This window comes from Homo sapiens, chromosome 20 (genome assembly GCF_000001405.40).
Source record: "Homo sapiens chromosome 20, GRCh38.p14 Primary Assembly".
NCBI lineage: Eukaryota > Metazoa > Chordata > Mammalia > Primates > Hominidae > Homo > Homo sapiens.
In genome coordinates, this window is record NC_000020.11 from 18808566 (window position 1) to 18830695 (window position 22130).

Below are 22130 nucleotides of genomic sequence, written 5' to 3' on the forward strand. Positions count from 1 at the left end.
TTACCAACCCTCAATTGAATCATCAATCCTGTGAGAATTTCTGGGACCCAGGCCAGGGCTCAGCATTGTTAAAAATGTGACTGGATTCAGCAGGGGCCAGGGAAGTGGGTGATGGTCCTACTGGAAACCAGATGGCCCACAGAACAAAGATTTTAAGCCTTCAGAGGAGTTCATAAAAGTTGATTTCCCATCTGTGTCGAGGCTCAGAAGGTATGATGTCTTCTCAATGTGGAGATCCTGGTTTATGCCTCTGGTCTTTGGGTCTTTGGTGGAGACACTTTCAGACCTTCCTCTGGGGACTCATGGTGACAGCCCCATGCTGCCAGGAAGCAGCCTTCCACCTGACGAGTGAAGAAGAAACCCCAGCTCCTGCTTGTTCATGCTTCTGCACACACTGCAGATGGCTGTGTGTCTCTCAAGGCAACTGGGGGCTGTGGGCCACGTGGCATTCAGCTCCTTAGTACTAAAATGTGTTATATTCAGGTGTGTGCATTGGTCAACTCTCAGCAAATGTACACTTAAGATTTGTGCATTTCTTTGTGTGTAAATTTTACATGAAAAACTAAAGAAATATTGTACTGTAGTAAATGCTTTGCATACTCAAGTGTTTGGGGGCTACTGATACCTGTAATTTACTTTGAAACATAAAAATAAGATAAAAATAAGATGGAGAGCTTCAAACAAGTGTAATATAGTGCAATGATAGAATATTGGTGAATATTTGAGTGTTGACTGTAGAAATCTTTCAACTTTGCAAAATATGCCTAAAAATTTTAAGAATAAGATGTTGGAAAAATTGTATTCAATTAAGAAACCATGGAGAGAGTGCACACTCATTACAAACAAAGCAGAATATATAAAGTAAAAGGTGAAAGTCCTTTCCTTCTCCTCTCACTGCATCTGATACCCAGGTGCAGGCACCTTGTCTGAGGCCCTCACAGCAAGGGTAAACTCGGTGACATAGATTTGTTCCCATTCAGGGGATGGGGGTGGGTGACACTTCTTAATCCCATTCCCCTATTCTGTTTGACCCATCTGCCAGCCCGACACCTGTGAGTGAATACACCTGCCCAGGTGCTGGGTTGGCAAGTGGGAGATGGATTTGCAAACTTTCAGAAAGAAAGCCCCCAGCCACATTTTGTTCCCAATGAGGAGGCTGGCAAAAAAGGGAAATGACCTTTGTTATTGAAATGTAATGACACCAAAGCTCTCAAAAATGATGGGGTTTCTCCTTGTTGCCTTCCGAGGTGCAATGGAAGAAGCTGTGGGTACCTGTGGTGGGCACTTGTCGCTGTGCAACACCCTTTTCTTTCCTGTTACCCCAACTCCAATTCTGTCCAAGGGACGGGGAGCCCTGCTCAGGGGTGTGAATCCTGATGGACATGTGATTCAGTCCTTGCCAGTGAGACCAGTGGAGGCCTTGGGACCTTTTCTTTCTGGTAAGCAATAGGTCCAAGGAGAGGTCTTTTTTGTCCCTTTGGCTTGGGCTGCTGTCTTCTGAGGATGTGATGGAAGGAGCCATGGCAGCCAGGCAGCCGTGAAGTGACAAACTGGGGACAAAAGGCAACACATTGAGGATGGTAGAATGCAAGAGTGGACACAGCACAGAGGTCTTGGCTGACCTCTCCAAGCCATAGTAGAAAAACCCAATTTTCAGACCTTGGAGGGCCTGTTATAACCCCAGTTGCTGGCATGATGGTTCACTTTATGTGTCAACTTGACTGGGCCATGGGATCCCCAGACCAGAGGTAAAACATTATTTCAGAGAGTGTCCATGGAAGCATTTCTAGAAGGAGGGGACAGCACTTGAATTGGTGGACTGAGTAAGGCAGATGGCCATCCCCAATGTGGGAGGCATCATCCCATCTATTGAGGGTCTTAATGGGACAAAAAGTGAGGGGAAGGTGGAACTCAGCCTCTCTGCCAGGCCTGAGACGTGGATCTTCTCCTGCCTTTGGACATCTGGGGTCCTGGTCCAGGACTTACACCAACCCCCGCCGCCCCCCAGTCCAGGCCTTCGGACCTGGAATGAATTACACCCCCTGTCTGTGTCCCTTGTTTGCATGTGGGACTTCTTGACCTCCAAAACCATGTGACCCAGTTCCTATAATAACTCCTTTCATCTCTCTCTCTATATATCATATTGGTTCTTTTTCTTTGGAGAACCCTGATTAATACAGCCGGGTCCCCTCCCCAGAGTTTTTGATTCAGCAGATCTGGCATGGGGCCTGAGAATGTGCATTTCTAATGAATCCCTAGGTGGAGTTGATGCCACTGGCCTGGGGACCCCATTTTGGGACCACTGAATTGAACCATTATCAGTTTTTATGGTAGTGGTTGTTACTTGAAGCTAAAAGCATCCTATTTAATAAAATGGTTTTGCAATTTTTTATTTTTAAATTTTAATTTAATTGTATTTCTTAGGGAACAGATCTCCATGCCTCTCACATTCCTTTAAAGCATTTGAAGAATTCAGAAACAAAAAGCTACAAATCTGCTGGGACCAGATCCTTGGGTCTGAATGGCAACCAAAGGGGAAAGAATCTCAACAGGGCTGAGGAAGATTGTGTCCAGTTGCAGGGTGCGTGTTTTCAAGATGCCAATGGGGTGGCAGTCAAGGTAGGAGAAGCAGCCTGCCACGGTGCAGGTAACAAGGCAGTAGTATCTGTTGAGAATTTAAATAATAAAACTGACTAGACAGTGTCTCTACTTTTATTATTTCTATTGGAGGACAATTCTAAAGAATGTCGTTGGGGAAGTGCTCCCTTGAGTCCTGGCATGTTTTGGATTTCTTATGTATGAGCTGTGGAACTGCATTCCCCTCGGACACACTGTGGCAGGAGAATGACAGCCCTATTGGGGACCTGCCTGAATAATTTAGATGGGACGGCGCTGTCTTTGAGGAAAATGAGATACGGGCAGTGGTGGGGCTCAGTTCTTTGTTGACTGCTTATAGTGAACTTGCTGGGGAATTCCTGCCCTCCTCATTTTAAAATCTCTGTGCTGATGTTGTCCATACCTGGTGACCTCATGGCAAGAACATGGTTTTGGAAGACACTGGGCTTTGTTTAACTGCTCAGCTTTGATAACAGCAGCTCATCCATCTTTGCAAATGTACTTTGAAGCCTTTTTCATTCTTCTGCAACATTCCCAGAAAGAACGAAGTTTCCAGCAACTCCATATAACAGAGCTTTGCTTACACATAAGAGCAGTTTGGTATAGGAAAGGATACAGGCTCCAACTTGATGAAGCTCCCTATGGCCAAATCTGGGACAATTTAGCAAGGAAATAAACAATGATAATAGTAGATTATGACCCACAGAATAAACAAATACCCACAAGTCCATGCTGAGATAAATAAATAATTGAACAAATAAAGAAATGGGAGAGAAGAGGGCAATTTTCCTTAGAGCAGAATTCCAGTTATTAAATCTCAAGGGAGTAAGAAGCATAGAAGATGACTGCTGGGCCTACCTCACACTGATTGCTGCAGGGATGGGCCATGGATGGATGCAACAAGAGTAGGCCAGAGGATGATGCAAAACAGGGCATTTGCAAGGTCTCAAGGCACCTCCCCTAAAGATACTAATCACAGAGGGAAAAACAGTAACTCTACAGTGCAGAAGCCTGAAGGAGCCGCTTTAACCAAGTGATCAAGGACAACATCGGCAGAAATGGGACATAACATCATGGACGCCTGCTATGGCACAGTGGGAAGAGCACAGGTCACCTCTGTGGCATCCTTGTCCCAAATGCATAACCTCCACCTAACCAGGAGAAAGCATCAGGCAGTCCTCAAAGGAGGGACATTTTTGGGAATAACTGGCCAGTATTCAAGTGTCAAGGTAACGATAGACAAAGATTGAAGAGCTGCCCCAGACTGCAAGGCACTAGGGAGACCTGCAACCAAATAGATATGGTCTCACATGGTCTGTAGATTAGTTAGTAGTCATGAACCAATGTGAATTTCTCAGATTAGATCACTGTACTGTGATTATATAAGATGTTAGTTTTGGGGAAAGCTGGGAGAAGGTTAAACAGGTACTATTTTTGCAAACTTTTTATAAGACTGAAATTATTTCAGAATAAAAAGTAAAGAAATAAACAGGTGGACTTTGGAGTCATTCTGCCTCTCCTCAAATCTGGCTACACTACTTACTAACTGTGTGACATTGGGCAAGTTACTTCATTTCTCCCCTCAGTTTCCTTATATGTAAAATGGGGATAAAAAGAATACCTATCTGGGAGGCCGAGGTAGGTGGATCACTTTAGCCCAGGAGTTTGAGACCAACCTGGGCAGCATGGTGAAACCCCATTTCTACAAAAAGTACAAAGATTAGCCAGGTGTGGTGGCACACGCCGTATTCCCAGCTACTTGGGAGACTGAGGTGGGAGGATCAAATGAGCCCAGGAGGCAGAGGCTGCTGTGAGCAGAGATCGCGCCACTGTACTCCAGCCTGGGTGACAGAGCAAGACCTTGTCTCAAAAAAAAAAAAAAAAAAGAAAAAATACCTATCATAGAGGGTTGTAATGAGAGTTAAATGTGTTAATACATGTGTAGTACTTAGAACTCTGCACCTTGGCCCAGAGCAAGGGCTATACTATTACGTGTAATTATCAGAGGAGACTGGCAGCATCTTCTGATCTTAGGGACATTTAATCTCTCTGTGTGTGTCTCACTGTGCTTCTGGAAAGTTTCTGATGCAGGCTCCTGGACTGATTCCTTCTCCAATCAATTACTCTGGCCTAAAAGCATTTCCCTTTCTACCAGCAGCCAGATAAAGCCAAATTCAGCACTAGGATCTGTAGTATTAACTTAAGTATTACCCACTTAATGGGACTTAAGTGTTACCTAGTTTTAGAGGAATAAGAATAACTTCTGTCTCACGTTGGGTTTCACTGAGGAGATGTCTGCATTGGAAAGACAGAGCTCATGTCACTAAAGAAGCTTCTGGGGCCAGTTTCCCTTAACCCCATTGCAGCCTGCAGACCTTTTGGGCTTGCAGGACCAACATCCCTGATTGGTTTGGGAGGGGCGTGTGTGTGTGGATCTGCCTCACAATGGCCTGTCTGAGCCCTTATCTGAGGTCACACGTTATCATTTGTTTGGCCAATAAGACTGTAGCACACACACCAGCTTCAGTCCCCACTTGGCCTTACCTTTGATGTCACAATCTGACCTGTGGGTATTAATCTGGTCACAGCTGCTCACAGACTAGATGGCAAGGTCCAGGGGACTAGCACAGGAAGATGTGGAAGAGAAGTGACCATCAACCCAAGATCAAAGCAGAGGATGGACCTCTGGTGGGCCAGTTCGAGGTTCTGGGTTCAGTTCCAGAACCTGCCATGCCACATCCTCTAGAGCTGTCAGAATTTGAGAGCTTCCCAGTGTTTCAGGACATTAGGCTTCACATCAGGGAAGTGGGAGCTCAATTGGTCAAGAAAGTCAATGCCGTCTTTCAGCTGGACATCACCAAAAATGGGAAGACCATTTTGCGGTGGACCATTGATCTGAAGAATGGTTCTGGGGACATGTATCCGGGACCTGCCAGGCTCCCAGCAGACACTGTCTTTACAATCCCGGAGTCTGTCTTTATGGAGCTGGTTTTGGGCAAAATGAACCCGCAGAAGGCTTTCCTTGCCGGAAAGTTCAAAGTGAGTGGCAAGGTTCTGCTTAGCTGGAAGCTGGAAAGGGTTTTCAAAGACTGGGCTAAATTTTAAGCATGCAAAAATACCAAGGAAGAACTTCTCTTCGATGATAATGTCGAGTGGAAATCATGCTTAATCTGAAGATTAAAGTAAAAAGTATCCAATATTTTTACTCAAATTCTTCCTATTCAAGTTTAATTGATTTTCCTGTTGATGGGTAAATTTTCAGGGAGGGTTCTGAAGCAGTAAAAAGCGTTGTAGTGCATCAATTAGAATCTTTGTCTTTTTCTCTTTTTTTAGCTCCATTTATGCCCTTTATGCTCCATTTATGCCAGGGTGAGAGCCACGTGTAAAGAAATGGGTGATTATGATCATTGGAATTAAATACTCCAATGATTGTGTTCTTGAGACATTTTTCCTTTTCTAAAAAAGTTTGATGTTTTGGGGAAAGAAGTGATAACTATCATTGTGCAGGTGTGCATTCTGCATGGTAACTTGATTCCATGAGGAAACTTTACTATGAGACTGTGGGGTGCTAAGGGAATGGGGCACCACAGGTCTGTGGGTGGAACCCAGGCAATAGAGGGGATGGTGCTGTTGGTGTATTATAATTTCTGATGGTTTCAATTCCAAGAAACTTGAAGGGCTTGGGAGGTGTTCTAGGCCAGTGGTTCTTAACTGGAGCATGCATCAGAATCACCGGAAAGGTTGGTTAAAGTCTGGATTGCTGGGCTCCATCTCAGAGCTTCTACTCAGGAAATCTGGGCTGGAGAGAATGCACATTTCTAACAAGTTCCCAGGGGATGCTGATGGCACCACCCTTAGAGAATTCCAGCTCTGCTTCACTTCATGCCAAAGCTCTCAGTATTGACTGTAACTATTCTATTCTAGGCCAATGAGATGGTGCCATTAATTAAAGGATCTCCCAGAGACAGACCCCACAGCCCTCTGTGAGCCATTTATAAAGTATCCATGCTGTCAGGAGCTTGTGCATTGAACATTTTACAAAATCAGAGGGCAGCCTGGGAGATTTCCCTTCCGGAAGCTCCCTTCACATGTTGTCTGGGAGGATAGGATGAAGTCTGTTGCAGCTGATGCAAACTCCTTGTGGGTGAGTGTGTGTGTGTTCTTGGTTCACATGTGGTTTGTGTGTACCTTTGACTTGTGGGCTAAATATACACAGTGTGGATACTCTGAAACCTAGAGGAAAGTTTCATCACAACTGCCATGCTCAAACACCTACACAGTGTGGACACTCTGAAACCTGGGTGGAAGTTTCATCACAACTGCCATGCTCAAATACACGCCTACCAAATAATCCCACCATTCTGTTCTTGGGTATTTTGTTAAGAGAAAAGAAAGCATATGTACAAGCATAAAATAAACACTCGCATGCATGTGAATGTTCATGGCAGCTGTGTTGGGAGTAGTCCTAAACTGGAAACAAGCCACATGTTCATCAACAGGTGAATGGGTGGACAAATTGTGCGGTGTCATACCATGGAATATTACTTAGCCATGAAAAGGAAGAAATGATTGGCATACACACAAATGACAATGTGGATAAATGGCAAAATAATTATGCTGAGTGAAAGAAGACAGAGAAGACTGAGCACATACTACATGATTCGATTTATATTAAATACTAAAAAATGTAAACGTAGTGACAGAAAAAAAAAGGCAGTGGTTGCCAAGAGACAGGAGCATGGGGAAATGAGGAAGGATGGGGGGATTATGACAAATGTCATGAGGACACTTGGGGGTAGTGGGTATATTCATTATCTTAATTGTGGTGATGTTTTCCCAAGTCAAAGCATCGCCTTGTGCAATGCATATAAACCCATGCAGTTTATTATGTGTCATATAAGCTAATCAGGTTGTTTTTAAGAACCTGCCACCCTCCCTTAGAAATAAGGCTTTTGTGTGGCTGTGTTCCTGAAGAGGAAGGATCAGCAACTCTCCCCTTCTCTCAGCAAGATGAGCCCTCTCACCTCATCTTGGTCTAGTGTTCAGCTCCTGACTATTTGGATGGCTCTGCAGAGGCCTTCCTCCATTTCATATTAGAGAAAGGCAGAGTGAGAACTTGTTGCTTACAAAATGTCATCCTCTCTGTGGGAAACGAAGAGATCATTTGTCCTGAGAGTGCTCTACTCCACAGTTAGACATTGCTAAGGGGATGGGCATGGACTTAGTGCACATCCTGGCTTCTTCTCTCATGTGCGTCATTATAGAGGTGATCTGCATCTTGTCCCTGTCAGTGCCCCCAGCCTGTGAATGTCTCAGAGGCTTCCAATGGATTCTGAGCTCTGTTGTGAGCACTCAGCTCCACTGGCCCAGGCCACTCCCATTCAACCATGTTTGAGTGTCAGGCATGGGGCCGGCAGGTGTTTGGGGTGCCATTGTGTCACATTCCTTTTTTCTTTTTTCTTTTTTTTTTTTGCGACGAAGTCTCACTCTTGTCCCCCAGGCTGGAGTGCAATGGAACGATATCCGCTCACTGTAACCTCCGCCTCCCGGGTTCAAGCGATTCTCCTGCCTCAGCCTCCCGAGTAGCTGGATCACAGGCCCCTGCCACCATGCCCAGCTAATTTTTGTATTTTTAGTAGAGACGGGGTTTCACCATGTTGGCCAGGCTGGTCTTGGACTCCTGACCTCAGCTGATCTGCCCACCTCAGCCTCCCAAAGTGCTGGGATTACAGGTGTGAGCCATTGTGCCCAGCTGTGCCACATTCCTTTTTAAGGGAAATGGCTCACCTAAGCCCCTGCTACCTGGGAGTCCTGCTCATACCATGTGTTAATCATTTGGCCCTGAGATGGGGGTTGCTTAGAGATGGGAGAGTGGGCAGAGGGGTTATGCAGGCTCATGCCTGGGCTGGCATCTGACCTATGACCCATTCTGACTTGGGACAAAAAAAGTGACCTGAGCTAACTCGATTCCTTTCTCAAGAATTTGGAACTGGGAAAGTGAGAGCCTGAGCTACAATCAAGCAGCGAGAATGGAATGGGAGAGGCTGGGATGCAGGGGGTGAGGAAGGGGCTGTGAGGAAGGGCAGCCATGGGGCAGGGGCTGGAGAGATGGAGGGGCAGGAGCCTGGAGTAGGGAGAGAAAGGTGGTCAACAAGCGAGGAGTGGGAAGCCCAGGCCTCGGAAACATGACCGCAAACCCCTTTCAATCTCAAGAAAACGTTCAATGCTGAATGCCACGTGAAGCTGCTGGAAGGACTCAGATTCTGGAATCAGAAGCGGAATTTTGAGCCCAGCATCACCATTTTACACCTGCCTGACCACAGGTGGGTACTGAACCGCCTCTTGCCCAAGCTTCCTCATCTGTAAACGGGACCAGGAGCCCTCGTGATGGTGGATTGCTGGGGAGCCCTCATTCGGGCGGCCCAACAGATCCCCTAGCTGGAAGTGGGCTTCCTGTGCATGTGAGTCCCTTTCTCCGCTGGGTAAGAGGAAGGGCAGGCACTTAGGCTGGCTCCCCACTGCCTCTAGGGACTTTCCTGCTTTTTCTCCTATACTCGGCTGGTGCCCTAGAAGATCACATGTGGCTCAAAACACACATCTGTGTTTTGTTTGGTCTATACAAGGTGGGCCAACACAGTGTTAGTAAAGTTTGAATTAGGACATTGTATATAAAAAATTGGATTTCTGTATTCTCTTTAAAAATTCGGTCATTTGGATACACTGAGCCTGTATTCCTGCCAGGCAACGGCTGCGGGTGTGGAGCGGGTGGGCTATCCAGACAGACCGAGGCCCACTCCTCCCAGCTTGGCCTCCCTGGCTCTGAAGGTGAGTGTTGGTGGCTGCAGTTTCCTTGGGCTGGGCCAGCCTTGCAGGGCCCCTGTGGGTATTTGTGCTGATGACCGTGGCTCCCTACCATACATGGTCTTACTCTTCGCCTGTCAGTGTTCTATGGCTGTGTAACAGATTACCACACATTAAGTGGCTTAAAACAACACCCATTCATTAACTCACAGCTTCTGGAAGCCAGAAGTCCAGGCAGGCTGAGCTGCCGTCTCAGCTCCCATGGCTGATCTTAAGGTGTTGGCCACTCTGGGCTCTTCTCTGGGGGCTTGAGGGGAGAATCTTTTCCAAGCTCATTCAGGTTGTGGCAGAATTCACCTTCTTGTGGTGATAGGACTGTTTCCTATCAGCTGGGAATGCTCTCAGCAACTTGAGGCTGGCCAGATGGCTCCTCCATCTGCAAAGCCAGCAATGGTGTGTCGAGCCCTTCTCAGGCTTTGAATCTCTCTGAATTCTTCTGTCTTCATCTTCTGCCTCTTCATGAAAGGACTCACGTGATTATACCGGGCCACTCAGATAATTCATAGTAAGCTCTCTATCTTAATGTGAATTTATTAGTAATCTTAATTATGTCTGCAAAATTCCTTCTGCCATGTGAGGTAATGCTGTGGAGTGAATGTGTCACCCCAGATTCATATGTCAAAACCTTGAACCCCAATGTGATGGTATTTGGAGGTGGCGCCTTTGGGAAGTAATTTGGGTTAGATGAGGTCACAAGAGTGGTTCCCTCATGATAAGATTAGTGTCTGTATTAGTCTGTTATCACATTGCTATATGAAAAATCTGAGGCTAGGTAATTTATAAAGAAAGAGGTTTAATTGGCTCATGGTTCTTCAGGCTGTATAGGAAGCATGATGCTGGCATCTGCTTGGCTTCTGACGAGGTCTCAGGAAACTTACAATCATGGCAGAAGGTAAAGGGGGAGTAGCACTTCACATGGCCAAAGAAGGAGCAAGGATTGGGCAGGGGAGGTTCTACACACTTTAAAACAACCAGATCTTGTGAAAGCTCCATCAAAAGAACAGCACCAAGCTGATGGTGCTAAGCCATTCGTGAAGGAGCCACTCCCATGATCCAATCACCTCCCACCTGGCCCCACCTCCAACACTGGGGATTCCAGTTTGACATGAGATTTGGTGAGAACACAGAACCAAACCATATCAGTGTTTTTATAAGAGGAAGAGACCAGAGCGCTCGTTCGTTCTCTCTCTTTCTCTCTTTCTTTCTTTCTTTCCTTCTTTCTTTTCTTTCCTTCTTTCTCTTTCTTTCTTTCTTTCTGTCTTTCTTTCTCTCTTTCTTTTCTTTCTTTCTCTCTCTCTATCTCTCTCTCCCTCTCTCTCTCTCTCCATTCCCCCCTCTCTCTTTCTTATTCTTTCTGCCAATGAGGATGTAGCAAGTAGGTGACCATCTGTACACCAGGAAGAGGGCCTTCACCAGACTGGCACCCTGATCTTGGACTTACCAGCTTCCAATGATAAGAAATAAAAGTCTGTTGTTTAAGCCGCCTGTCTATGATACTTTGTGATAGAGCCCACACAAAGACAAATAATGTATTCATGGGTGTGATATCTCATCCTAGCCACAGTCCTGAAGACTGAGGTGTAGGATCTTCTTGGAGGCCATAATCCTACCAACTCCCCCGCCTCCACCATCTACATTCCATGCATGTTCTCAAGGTCATCCTCCAGGAAACTGCCCTGATTGAGCTGTTGTCTTTCTCTCCTACAATTTGTATACCTCTCCTTTTTCCAGCTCTGTGTTCTGCCTTTGCATGGGTGTGGTCCTATGTGGGCCACACAAATGCCCTGGCTTATCTGGGACATTCCCAGTTTGCCCCCAGAGATCCCACCTCTTTTGTCTCTGAACAGGGTTAGATGTGCACTGTGCCCTAGGAAGGATGGAGCAAATGGCTCACGGCCCCTGTGGGAGTCTCAGTGAGGTGCACCTGGCTGCATGGAGACCAGACTGAGATTCTGGATCCTAGGGCAACTCTTAGGGACCTCACGATTTTGCAGGTGATTTTTTCCATTCTCCAAACAAGAAACAGGGAAGTAGGACTGTCTCAGCTCCCATGGGTGGATCTGTTCACATGTGTTTTGGCACAAGTTCCAGGACAGCACCACCAAAGAGGGCAAGGTTTTTATTCTGGAGGTTTTAAGTTAGCGAAGATCTTGGATTTTTAGCTGTAAATTGCCAGTTTCTTCTGTTCACTGACTGACTGAGCAATTAATCTATTTGCCTAAAAAATATTTTTGAGCACTCATGATGTCTTAGGAGTTAATTACTTTTGGCAGGGCTGATAGTAAGCTGGGATATATGAGGCCAGAATTGGTTCCAATTGGTCAAACACCATTCTGGTTTTCAGTGACCCGTTCTGATGGGTTTTTTTCCCTTTGCCATATGGTTATGAAACATTCTGGAAATCACTCTTGGTTTGAGGAGCTGGTGGCAAGCAAGCTGAGGTTTCTTTTCTCCAGGAGCTTGTATTTCCAGATGGGAGTTGTGGGTGGGTTGTGGGGAGACAAGCAATAGACAGCAAACAAATAACCAGAGAAGACACTTGAGAAGGGAAGGGAATGTGGCTAAGGGGGCCTGGGTGGCCAGGGAAGGCCTCTCTGAGAAGGGGCTTCCTGAACCTCACACTGTAGTGGCAGGCCCTGGGGCAAAGATGCAACTGCCAGCTGTGGATTTGTGTGGTGATTCCAGGAAATATCCCTTGGGGAGTGGGGCAGTGGGACAGGGAGGGAAGGAAGGTGATACAGGGCATATTATTGAGCAGGTCATTGTTGAGGGGCTCAACCCCACAGAACAGTTCAGGGAGACAGGGTAGAACACCCCTCAGTGTTGTCCAGCCCAAGGAAAGAGGGAGTTACAGAATTTTTAAACTAATTCCCATCAGTCTTTGGTTGAGGGCTTGTGATGGTAAATACTGAGTGTCAACTTGATTGGATTGAGGGATGCAAAGTATTAATCCTGAGTGTGTCTGTGTGGGTGTTGCTACAAGAGATTAACATTTGAGTCAGTGGGCTGGGGAAGGCAGATCCACTCTTCATCTGGTGAGCATAATCTAATCAGCTTCCAGCGAATATAAAGCAGACAGAAAAATGTGAAAAGGAGGGACTGGCCTAGCCTCCCAGTCTACATCTTTTTCCCGTGTTGGATGCTTCCTGCCCTCGAACATCAGACTCCAAGTTCTTCAGTTTTGGGACTGGGACTGGCTATCCTTGCTTTGCAGCTTGCAGACAGCCTATTGTGGTACCTTGTAATCATGTAAGTTAATACTTAGTAATCTTCTAGATATATATATATATATATATATATATATATATATATATATCCTATTAGTTCTGTCCCTCTAAGAGAACCCTGACTAATACAGGGCTGCTCCTGGGACAGGGGTTTTTGATTCCCTGGGTCTGGGCATTTGAGAGAAAGCCCTCCAGCAGTTGGAAGTCAGTTGCAGCAGACTCTGATGATGAGGTCCAGAGAAGGATCAGAGCAAGTGCTGAGTCCTGGCAATCTCCAGCAGCGCTTGCATTTGAAGGGGCACCAGGACACAGCAGTTAGAACTCGAAATCTGGAAGCAGACTGCCTGGGGCTGGATCTTGCCTCATTGGGCAAGTTGCTTTTATTTACTTTATTGTTTTATTTATTTTTATTTTATTTTGAGATAGAGTCTTGCTCTGTCACCCAGGCTGGAGTGCAGTGGCACAATCTCAACTCACTGCCACCTCTGCCTCCCGGGTTCAAGTGATTCTCCTGCCTCAGGCTTCTAAAGGACTACAGGTGTGCACCACCACACCCAGATAATTTTTGTATTTTTAGTAGAGACTGGTGTTACCATGTTGGCCAGGGTGGTCCCGAACTCCTGACCTCAGGTGATCCACCTGCCTCACCTCCCAAAGTGCTGGGATTACAGGCGTGAGCCACTGCACCCAGCCTATTTACTTATTTTTTAATGCATTTTTAAAATTGAAGAATAACATACATAGGAAGAAGTCTACACATTCTAAGTGTGCAGCTAACAAACTTCCCCAAATGGAAAACACCCGTGTAACCAACACAACATGTGGCTCAAGAAATAAGGCATGACTGGCGCCCCAGTAATCCCCACTCACACCCCCTTCTAGTTACTGTTGCCTCCAGGATAACCACTATTTTGACTCTAACGCCATAGACTTTAGTTTTGCCTACTTTTGTGCTTTATATAAATGGGACCATGCAGTGCACACTCCGCTGTGTCTGGCGCCTTCCATTCAGAATTCTGTGTCTGAGATCCATCCACACTGTTGTGCACAGTTACTGCTCGTTTGTTTTATTGCTGAGTGGTGTTCCATTGTATTTGATTGTTTCCAGTTTAGGGTGATTTTAAATAGCGTTGCTGTGAGCCCTCTTGTATACCTATGGGAACAGAAGTCTCATTTTGCCACTTAATATTAGTTAGTGTCTTATCCCAGTTTGCAGTGGCAGCTACAGTGTGGTGTCTTGCACACAGCTTGTGCTTTATAAATGTTTGTGGCATGAATTGAGAGGCAGGGCAAGTCCAGAGGTAGAGAAACAGGCCTTGCTGGGATTTGGTGTCTGGTTCACTGGGCCTCTGACCTCCTCCATGATCCTAGACTTTGGGCCCCACTTGCTGGGTTTCAGAGGGAAACTGACAGCCACAGGGCAGAGGAGACAAAAAGGAAGTCTCCCAGGTGTGCCATTAACATGCGCAGTGCTTAACCATGTTGGGAACTACCCCCAGATGACAGCTGAGAATCCTCACTGACTTTTCTTTGAAGGAAAAAAAATTCTTCCAGATCTGTAACTAGGCTAATCACAAGAAACATCTGTGACCTCCTAAAAATATCTGCTTGGTACCATTTTGTAGAGCATAATATTTATATAGCCCAGCAGTGTAATTAAATTGATGTTTAGTTAACTCTTGGAAACAGCTGAAGGCTCCCAAAGCCCAGGATGAGATCTGCAGGCGGCCCTGGAATGGGCTTGAAAGGGGCCCTGGGAGGTGTTCCTGCAGGCTCTTGGTGGGGGGTCCTGGAGTGGCCACAGAGATTGGGTGGGCCTGAGGAACTAAGGAACATGCTGTGTTGAGGGACTGCGTGGCTCACTCAGGGGCAGCTGGATTATAGTTGTTTCTATATTTCTGTCCAGCAGCCTCTGGAACATCATTTCCTGCTGAGGAAAGGTTTTCTCTTAAAGGACTAATCAGAAAGTGCTCTGTCTCAAAGCGCCTTTGCTGTTGTTTTGTAGCCTGTGGAGATGAAGTGGGGTAATGGTGGGTTTTTCTGGAGGGTTTTCATGCTTGTTTCTGGAGAACTGCTCGTATTGGTGGGGATCTCAGCCGGCAGAGAGTGGAGCCCGTGCTTTCTCTTACTCCTCATCAATAAAGAAAAGAGCAAAGTTGAAGCGAGTTTTTTCTTTTTTGGAAAAAGAAAAAATTCAACTTTTATTTTAGAGTCAGATGTGCAGGTTTGTTACCTGGGCATATTGCGTGATGCTGAGGCTTGTGGACGACTGATCCTGTCCCCAGGTACTAAGCATAGTTTTTAGGCAAAGGGGCTCCATAGCTTTTCAGCTGGGCAAGTTTCTCACTGGAGACCCTGAGGCCTGCAAAGCAGGACTGGAGCCTACTGCGGGCAGGGCCTGGTGTGGGGTCTCCTCTGAAGCCTTGAGATGCCATAAAAACATCAGGCCTTTACAGGGGTGCCTCCAGAGTGCGGTTAGGGGTGGGATTCAGAAGGGCCTCCGGGGAGCTTGAGAAGTCTGGAGTTGGGAAGGCAGTCCAGGGACAGTACCTCCCGTTTTGGCCATCCCCTTTTTTTGGAATTCTGCTCTTTGCATGAGGAAAAGGGAAAACCCATTGATGTTTTGAGCCCGTAAGCATTCCTTTATTCATTCATTCTGTGATAATTACCAAGCAACTACTACCTAATATACCTTCTCGGCCCTGTGCTGAGAGTACGGGATGCAAGGCTGAGCAAAATGGACACCTCCTGATATGGTTTGGCTGTGTCCCCACCCAAATCTCATCTTGAATTGTAGTTCCCATAATCCCCACGTGTGGTGGGAGGGACCTCGTGAGAGGTAACTGAATCAAGAGGATGGGTTCGCCCATGCTGTCCTCATGATAGTGAGTAAGTTCTCATGAGATTTGATGGTTTTATAAGGGACTTTCTTCTTCACTTGGCTCTCATTCTTCTCCTTCGTGATGCCATGTGAAGAAGGACGTGTTTACTGTCCCTTCTGCCATTGTTTTGTTTCCTGAGGCCTTGCCAGCCCTGTGAAACTGTGAGTCAATTAAACCTCTTTCCTTTTTAAATGACTCAGTCCCAGGCAGTTCTTTCTAGCAGTGTAAGAATGGAGTAATACACCTCCGATCCTCAGGGAACTCCCAGTGTGGTGCCTGGCTACACACACAGTGAGGGCTCAGGAGGGAAAGCTGAGGGGCTCTTCATAGACTTGGTAGGGGCTTAGGACAGACTTCCTGAGGAACAAGATCAGAGGAATGAGTGAGAGGTCCCTGAGACAGGGCAGAGATGAGACCGTTCCAGGCGAGGAAACAGCATGTGTAAATGCCCTGTGGCTCACAGAGCACGATGAGTTCCAGGAACAGAACAAGACCAGTGAAGATGGAGAAAGGGGGTCAGTGGCAGAAGGTTGGAGCCTGGGGCCCAGCTTTGTAGACTGAAGCCAGAACTCTGGTGGTCATCCTTACATGACCTGAGACCTGGAACCACCTGCTACGGTGTGGACTCCATGCTGGCCTTATTTTATTCTGGAAAAGAAAGTTGGGGTGGGCAATGGCACCCTTAAGGCTGGAGTTGCCAGAAAGATTTAGGTTTTCTCCCCATCTTGAAATGTGTAACCCCAGACTCCTCCAAGCCCTGATGGTGACCATCAAGATGGAGGTGGCTCTATGACATCAATGAAGGGACAGTGAACAAGGACCTAAACCCAAACCCAGCTCCATGAAATTGAGGGCTTCATCTCAGTGTCTTTCCAAGCCACAGCCTAATAGGTCCTTAAACAGACTCAAAGGGAGAAACGGCCCAGGGAAGAAGGAAAGCCACCACTTGCATTTCCCAGTGGCGCCGCCTTTTATTCCAAGTCTAAAGTTATCCCAAGGCCACACATATGTGGACAGGGGATGGTGTGCTTGGGTGGGCTGGTGGTGTGGCGCCATGGGAAGTGGTTTGGAGGATGAGAGAACTTGGTGCCCAGATCCACAATGCCATCCTTACCTCTCTAATGGGCTCTTGTGGGACCCCTCCACAACGTAGGGATGACTCCAGATGGTCTCTGTTTCCCTTGGATATTTATAATCCTAAAAACAGATCAGTATTTAAAAGTTAATGAAGAAAAGGAAAGTTAGCTCAGCGATAACAATAAAAGGTGGTGTTTTGGGCACATTTGTCTATGTTCCTGGCATTGCATTCAGGGCTTAACATGTATCATCTTATTTCTTGTCACCACTACTTCTGAAATTAGCTCCATTTCCACTGGGAGGGTGAAAACCTGCTGAGGTTTTGGCTTTAGAAAGGTGGTGGTGCTTCCCCCTACTTCCAATCCATGTAACTAAAAATCTAAAAAATAAAACTATGCTAAACCATAAATCAAGTGCAAGATAGATTAACCAAGTTCTGGGTGTTTCTCCACAATGACTAGTTTGATGTGTATTTTGAAACATTATTGTACATAATTGTGGTTCTTTTTATGTAAATTTGAACTATATGATTCTGAGTTTAATATAAAATAAAAATAAAGTCTCACTTTACAACCCAAATATGAAATAGAATACCAAGAGATTAAAGAGAGTTGGGAATCTCATAATTTCAAGGGCCTTAAGATAGACTGGTTTGTGAGCTTTGTTGAAACTTGTCCAAGATGGGGCTGCTCTCAGCTGTTAAGAGGGAAACCCATCATGCTTTGTGTTGTTACTATGGAAAGGTTGGTCTGGACTTCAGTGAGCTGGGATTTACATGAGGTCTTCAGGAAAGTATCTCTCTAATAAATAAAACTGCCATATAGCAAATTATGTTGGAAAAAAAATCCCTCAGTGCCTTTGAATTGTGTGTGGCCACAGTAGGTACTTTCTCTGCCTACTGGGTCACTTAGGGGAAGAGAAGTTAAGTGACTTGCATAACAACACAAGGTCATGGTGGAGCTGAGGTTTGGAAATGGGTCTGCTTGGTTCCAGGTGTCTTGTTGAGAGAGATCTAGTGTTCCTGACCTCCTCTTTAAATTACTAAAAAAAAAGAAAAAAAAAAATCAAAGAGCTAGACAGGTCTTTGAAACTCATTTAATCCAGGGCATGCGTTTTAGAGATGAATGAACTCAAATCCACAGAAGAAAAACTGAATGACGCAAAACCATGGCTACTGTGCTTTGGTTGGCTTCACCAGTTTTCCAGGGAAGCTCTTGAAAGAGGCCTGAGCTCTACTTCAAGCTGGTTCTTAGCCTCGCTGTGTGGTCACAAGGAGGCTACTTGCCCTCTCTTGGTTCAAGGCCCTCCTCTCAGGGAATCAGGTGGGTTGGATTACGTGTACTCACATTCCTTCAAGCTTGAAAGGTCTCTATCTCTGATTCCAGCCTCTTCTCATTGATTGAGTTACTTCCCATTGTCTCTTGGGGATAAAACTGGGGTGGTGGTAAGGGGAGGCCCCATAAGAAATGGGGTGGCATAAATGAACCAAGAATGTAGAGGCAATAATTTTTCCAAGGAAAATTTATTTAGTAAAGAGAAAATAAAATTTCTTTCCTTTTTTATTTTAAAGAAATAGCCAGTATTGGAGTTCAAGATGACTGACCAGTGTACAATGAATTTCCATTTTTCTTTATTACAAAGAATCACTCAGAGATGCTCTCCTATTTTCATACCCACACAACACATAAAGCTCAACACACACTTGCATACACATGCACATCAAACATGCCCTGTCAATCAAGCATCACAATGAGCTGAATTAATGAGTTGTTCAAGGCAGACAGCTCTGGGCAGGACTTGGTTATGGCTTTGGTGGGAGTCTCTTTGGAGAAGTCCATTTGGTGGGGTGCATAGGCACAGAACCTTGAAAAACTTTCCGAGATGTCACTGACCAGCTTGGCTGGTATCTAAAATTGTCTCCTGTTTATATTTTCTTCATCTTGAACAACTCTGTGACATATGATTAGTTATAAGGTTTCTCATATCTCCCAATATTTTCTCTGAAGTTGGATTCCAATGTCTTTTTTGAGTGGCAGTGTCCAAACTACTTAGAGCCACGGCAACACTGAGTCACAAGCTATCTCAAAACTCTGCAATAAGTAGTGCTAAGGCACAGCACTGAATTATACTCATGGACCTGCGGTCTGACTGAGGATCTGCTAATTCAGGCTGGCTGGGCCCTGCCCCTCCAGTCTCTCATCTCCTTTCCCTCCCTGCTATGGTTTGAATGTGTCCCTCAAATTTCATGTGTTGGATACTCAGTCCCCAATGTGGCAGTATTGAAAGGTGGGGCCTTTAAGAGGTGATTGGGTCATGAAGGCTCTTCTCTTTACAAATAGATTAACTCATTCATGGGTTAATGAATTAATGAATTGATGGGTTATTGTAGAAGTGGAACTGGTGGCTTTATAAGCAGAGGAAGAGAGGCCTGAGCTAGCATGCTCAGCTCCCTCGCCACGTAATGTCCTGTACGGTCTCAAGACTCTTCAGAGAGTCCCCACTGGCAAGAAGGATTTCACCAGATGTGACCCCTGAACCTTGGACTTCTCAGCCTCCAGAACTGTAAGACATAAATTTCACTTCTTATAAATTACCCTGTTTCAGATATTCTGTTATAAGCAACAGAAAATGAACTGAGACACTCCCCTTTAGACCAGTGGCATGGTCCGGGCACATTTTCCCCATGATGATGGCAGAGGGGAAACGCATCATTGGGCTAACATCCCACAGGCCAGAGCAAGTGATATGGCCAAACTCAGAAGCAGGAAGTACGGCATTAAAATGCACATCAGAAGTGAAGGAAGAGAGTGGAAATGTGAAGACAGTCATCGTGGTCAATATCCACTGTGACAAACTTATCAGCTGTGGTGGTTTTAAACACTTGCAAATTCTTTGTTACTCCTCCCATCAAGAGGTGGGATCCAGGTCCCCTCCCTCTGAGCTGGGGTGGGCCATTGTGGCTGCCTCGATGAACACAACGTGGCAGAGGTGATACTGCATGACTTTCTAGGCTTCTGCTGGTTTCTTGCAGACTTCTGCCCCTTGTGAGAAGTTCTGACACCCCAAGGTCCCCATGTGGGGAGACCAGACAGAGATGCTCAGGGATGCCCGGATTCCCAGTGAGGAATCTCTGGAGAGGGCCGCAGACACTGCATGTCTCTGCAAACACATGGGAGTCCCTGAGCAAGAACTGCCCAGTGGAGCCCAGTTGACCCCCAGATCCATGAGCAAATCATTGTTCCGGTTTTATGCCACTGTTTTGGGGTGGCTCATTATGCAGTATTAGATAACTGGAAAATCAAGGCTACAGTTTCTAGCAAGGAATGGTGCATAGGGGTGAACTGCAGCTCCCCCACTTGCCACCCGGTTGTGACCTTGGATAAGTGCTCTGATGTCCCTGCCCAGCTTTTTCATCTATAAAAATGGGGATCATGTTCCCTGCCTCCTATGATTGCTGCCAGATTAAACACCTAGCACAGGGCCTGGATGGTGGCGGGTACTCAGTCAATATTGATGGAGTAAATAACTGCTTACTGCTCAACGGGGCTCATAGGGTGAATTCCGGCTGGGTAGAGCTCGGAGGCCAAAAAATGGGCAGATGGGATGACTGAAACAGTGCTGTGGTTCAGCCTAGGCTACAAATTATGGCTGTTAGAGACTGTGTGTGTGTGTGTGTTTGTGTGTGTGTGTGCATGCTTTCAAATCTTCCTTTAATAAGGAAGTGAGGAAGTGGAGACCTTTTTTTTTGCCCTGTTGCCCAGGCTGGAGTGCAATGGCGCGATCTTGGCTCACTGCCACCTCCGCCTCCCAGGTTCAAGCAATTCTCCTGCCTCAGCCTCCCGAGTTGGGATTACAGGCACGCGCCACCACGCCAGGCTAATTTTTGTATTTTTAGTAGAGACAGGGTTTCGCCATATTGGCCAGGCTGGTCTCGAGCTCCTGGCCTCAGGTGATCTGCCTGCTTTGGCCTCCCAAAGTGCTAGGATTACAGGCATGAGCCACCGCGCCTAGCCCCCTTTGTAGTCTTGATTGATGTGTGTGAAACCCATTTCCTGGAGCTCTCAGGGGAACACTTTTTTTGTGTGCAGATCCCTATTTCATGAAGTTGCAGGGACATAGAATATATAATTTGTTTGGGGCATTGCTTTGAGCAGGCTGATAAAAGTGGAAGCTAAAAAATTAATGTAGTCTCCTCCCTCAGATCCTGTAGCCAGCCTGTTTGGGTTTCTTCCCCATCTCTGCAACCTGAAGGGAAGGATCTTCCTTTTTTTGCCCCATACGATCCACAGGAAGGATCTTCCTTTTAACAAACTTCTTCTTGACAAATAACACACATAATGCAGAAGGTGCATGCATCCTGTGTTCATCTTGATGAAGTTTCATAAACTACAGGCACCCGTATTTTCATAAACCAACTTCCAGATCCAGAAACAGAATCCCTTCCAGCACCCCAGATGTCCCTTCTCCTCTTTCTTGTCCCTACTTAGTCCTCCAACCCAGGGAAACCACAATTCTGACTTAAAAATAACATTGTTTAGTTTCCCCAGTTTTGCTGTCCCATAAACAAAATCATGCACTCTGATTTTGTGTCTGGATTCCTCGGCTCCACACTGTCTCTGTAACACTCACGCATTTGTTGCACATCTTTTGGCTCATTCATCCTCTTAGTTGTATCACATGTTATTTTATGACTATACCACAATTTATTTATCTGTTCTACTGTTGATGGGTAGTTTCCAGATTTGTGTCCCATCTACCTGTCTCTCCAGCATGAAACTTATCTAACTTACCTCTCCAGCATGTGGCTTAAATACCTGGAACATTTGCTTGGACCATGAAGGAAGGAAGGCAGGTTCTTTATAAATTCAAATCCATCCTGTCCGGTTGCCCACACTGTGCTGAGTGTCCTCACTGGCTGCTCCAGCCTCTCCCACCCAAATGGCCAGACTTCAAGGAGTGGGGGGTGAGAACCCTCTCCCTTGTCTGTTCCAACGGCCAGTGCCTGAAATCTCACTTCGGGAGGGCCCTTCCTTTCCCACCGTTAAAATACAACAACCCGGCCAGGCACCGTGGCTCACGCCTGTAATCCCAGCACTTTGGGAGGCTGAGGCGGGCGGATCACGAGGTCAGGAGATCGAGACCATCCTGGCTAACAAGGTGAAACCCCGTCTCTACTAAAAACACAAAAAATTAGCCAGGCGTGGTGGCGGGCGCCTGTAGTCCCAGCTACTCGGGAGGCTGAGGCAGGAGAATGGCGTGAACCCGGGAGGCGGAGCTTGCAGTGAGCCGAGATAGCGCCACTGCAGTCCGGCCTGGGCGAAAGAGCGAGACTCCGTCTCAAAAAGAAAAAAAGAAAAAAAGGAAATACAACACTCACTCCACCCAGAAGACATGTTCTCCAAAGTGAGCCTTCTATGTCACTTGTCCCGAAAGAAAAGAAAAGAACAAGACTTCCTGATTGATAACT

At 46.2% G+C, this 22130-nt stretch overlaps 1 protein-coding gene and 1 long non-coding RNA gene across 3 annotated transcripts; one reads left to right on the forward strand and one right to left on the reverse strand.

Moving 5' to 3' along the window:
• Positions 1–785: 785 nt before the first annotated feature.
• SCP2D1-AS1 (SCP2D1 antisense RNA 1) lies at positions 786–21638 on the reverse strand. Of its 2 annotated transcripts, none has more exons than NR_161343.1 (3): positions 21478–21638; positions 16701–16783; positions 786–1550 (listed from the first exon to the last, which is right to left on the reverse strand). It is a non-coding gene; the product is annotated as an SCP2D1 antisense RNA 1 (long non-coding RNA). The 2 variants fall into 2 exon arrangements; NR_161342.1 differs by having other exon boundaries at positions 21454–21638.
• SCP2D1 (SCP2 sterol binding domain containing 1) lies at positions 5218–5813 on the forward strand. Its single transcript, NM_178483.3, has one exon. The coding sequence runs from the start codon at positions 5251–5253 to the stop codon at positions 5719–5721; it is 471 nt and encodes a 156-aa protein (NP_848578.1). The 5' UTR covers positions 5218–5250; the 3' UTR covers positions 5722–5813.
• Positions 21639–22130: the final 492 nt, after the last annotated feature.

Bases quoted from the DNA above. Each gene is read 5' to 3' on its own strand.
- SCP2D1 (NM_178483.3), top strand. From the start codon at position 5,251: ATGTGGAAGAGAAGTGACCATCAACCCAAGATCAAAGCAGAGGATGGA.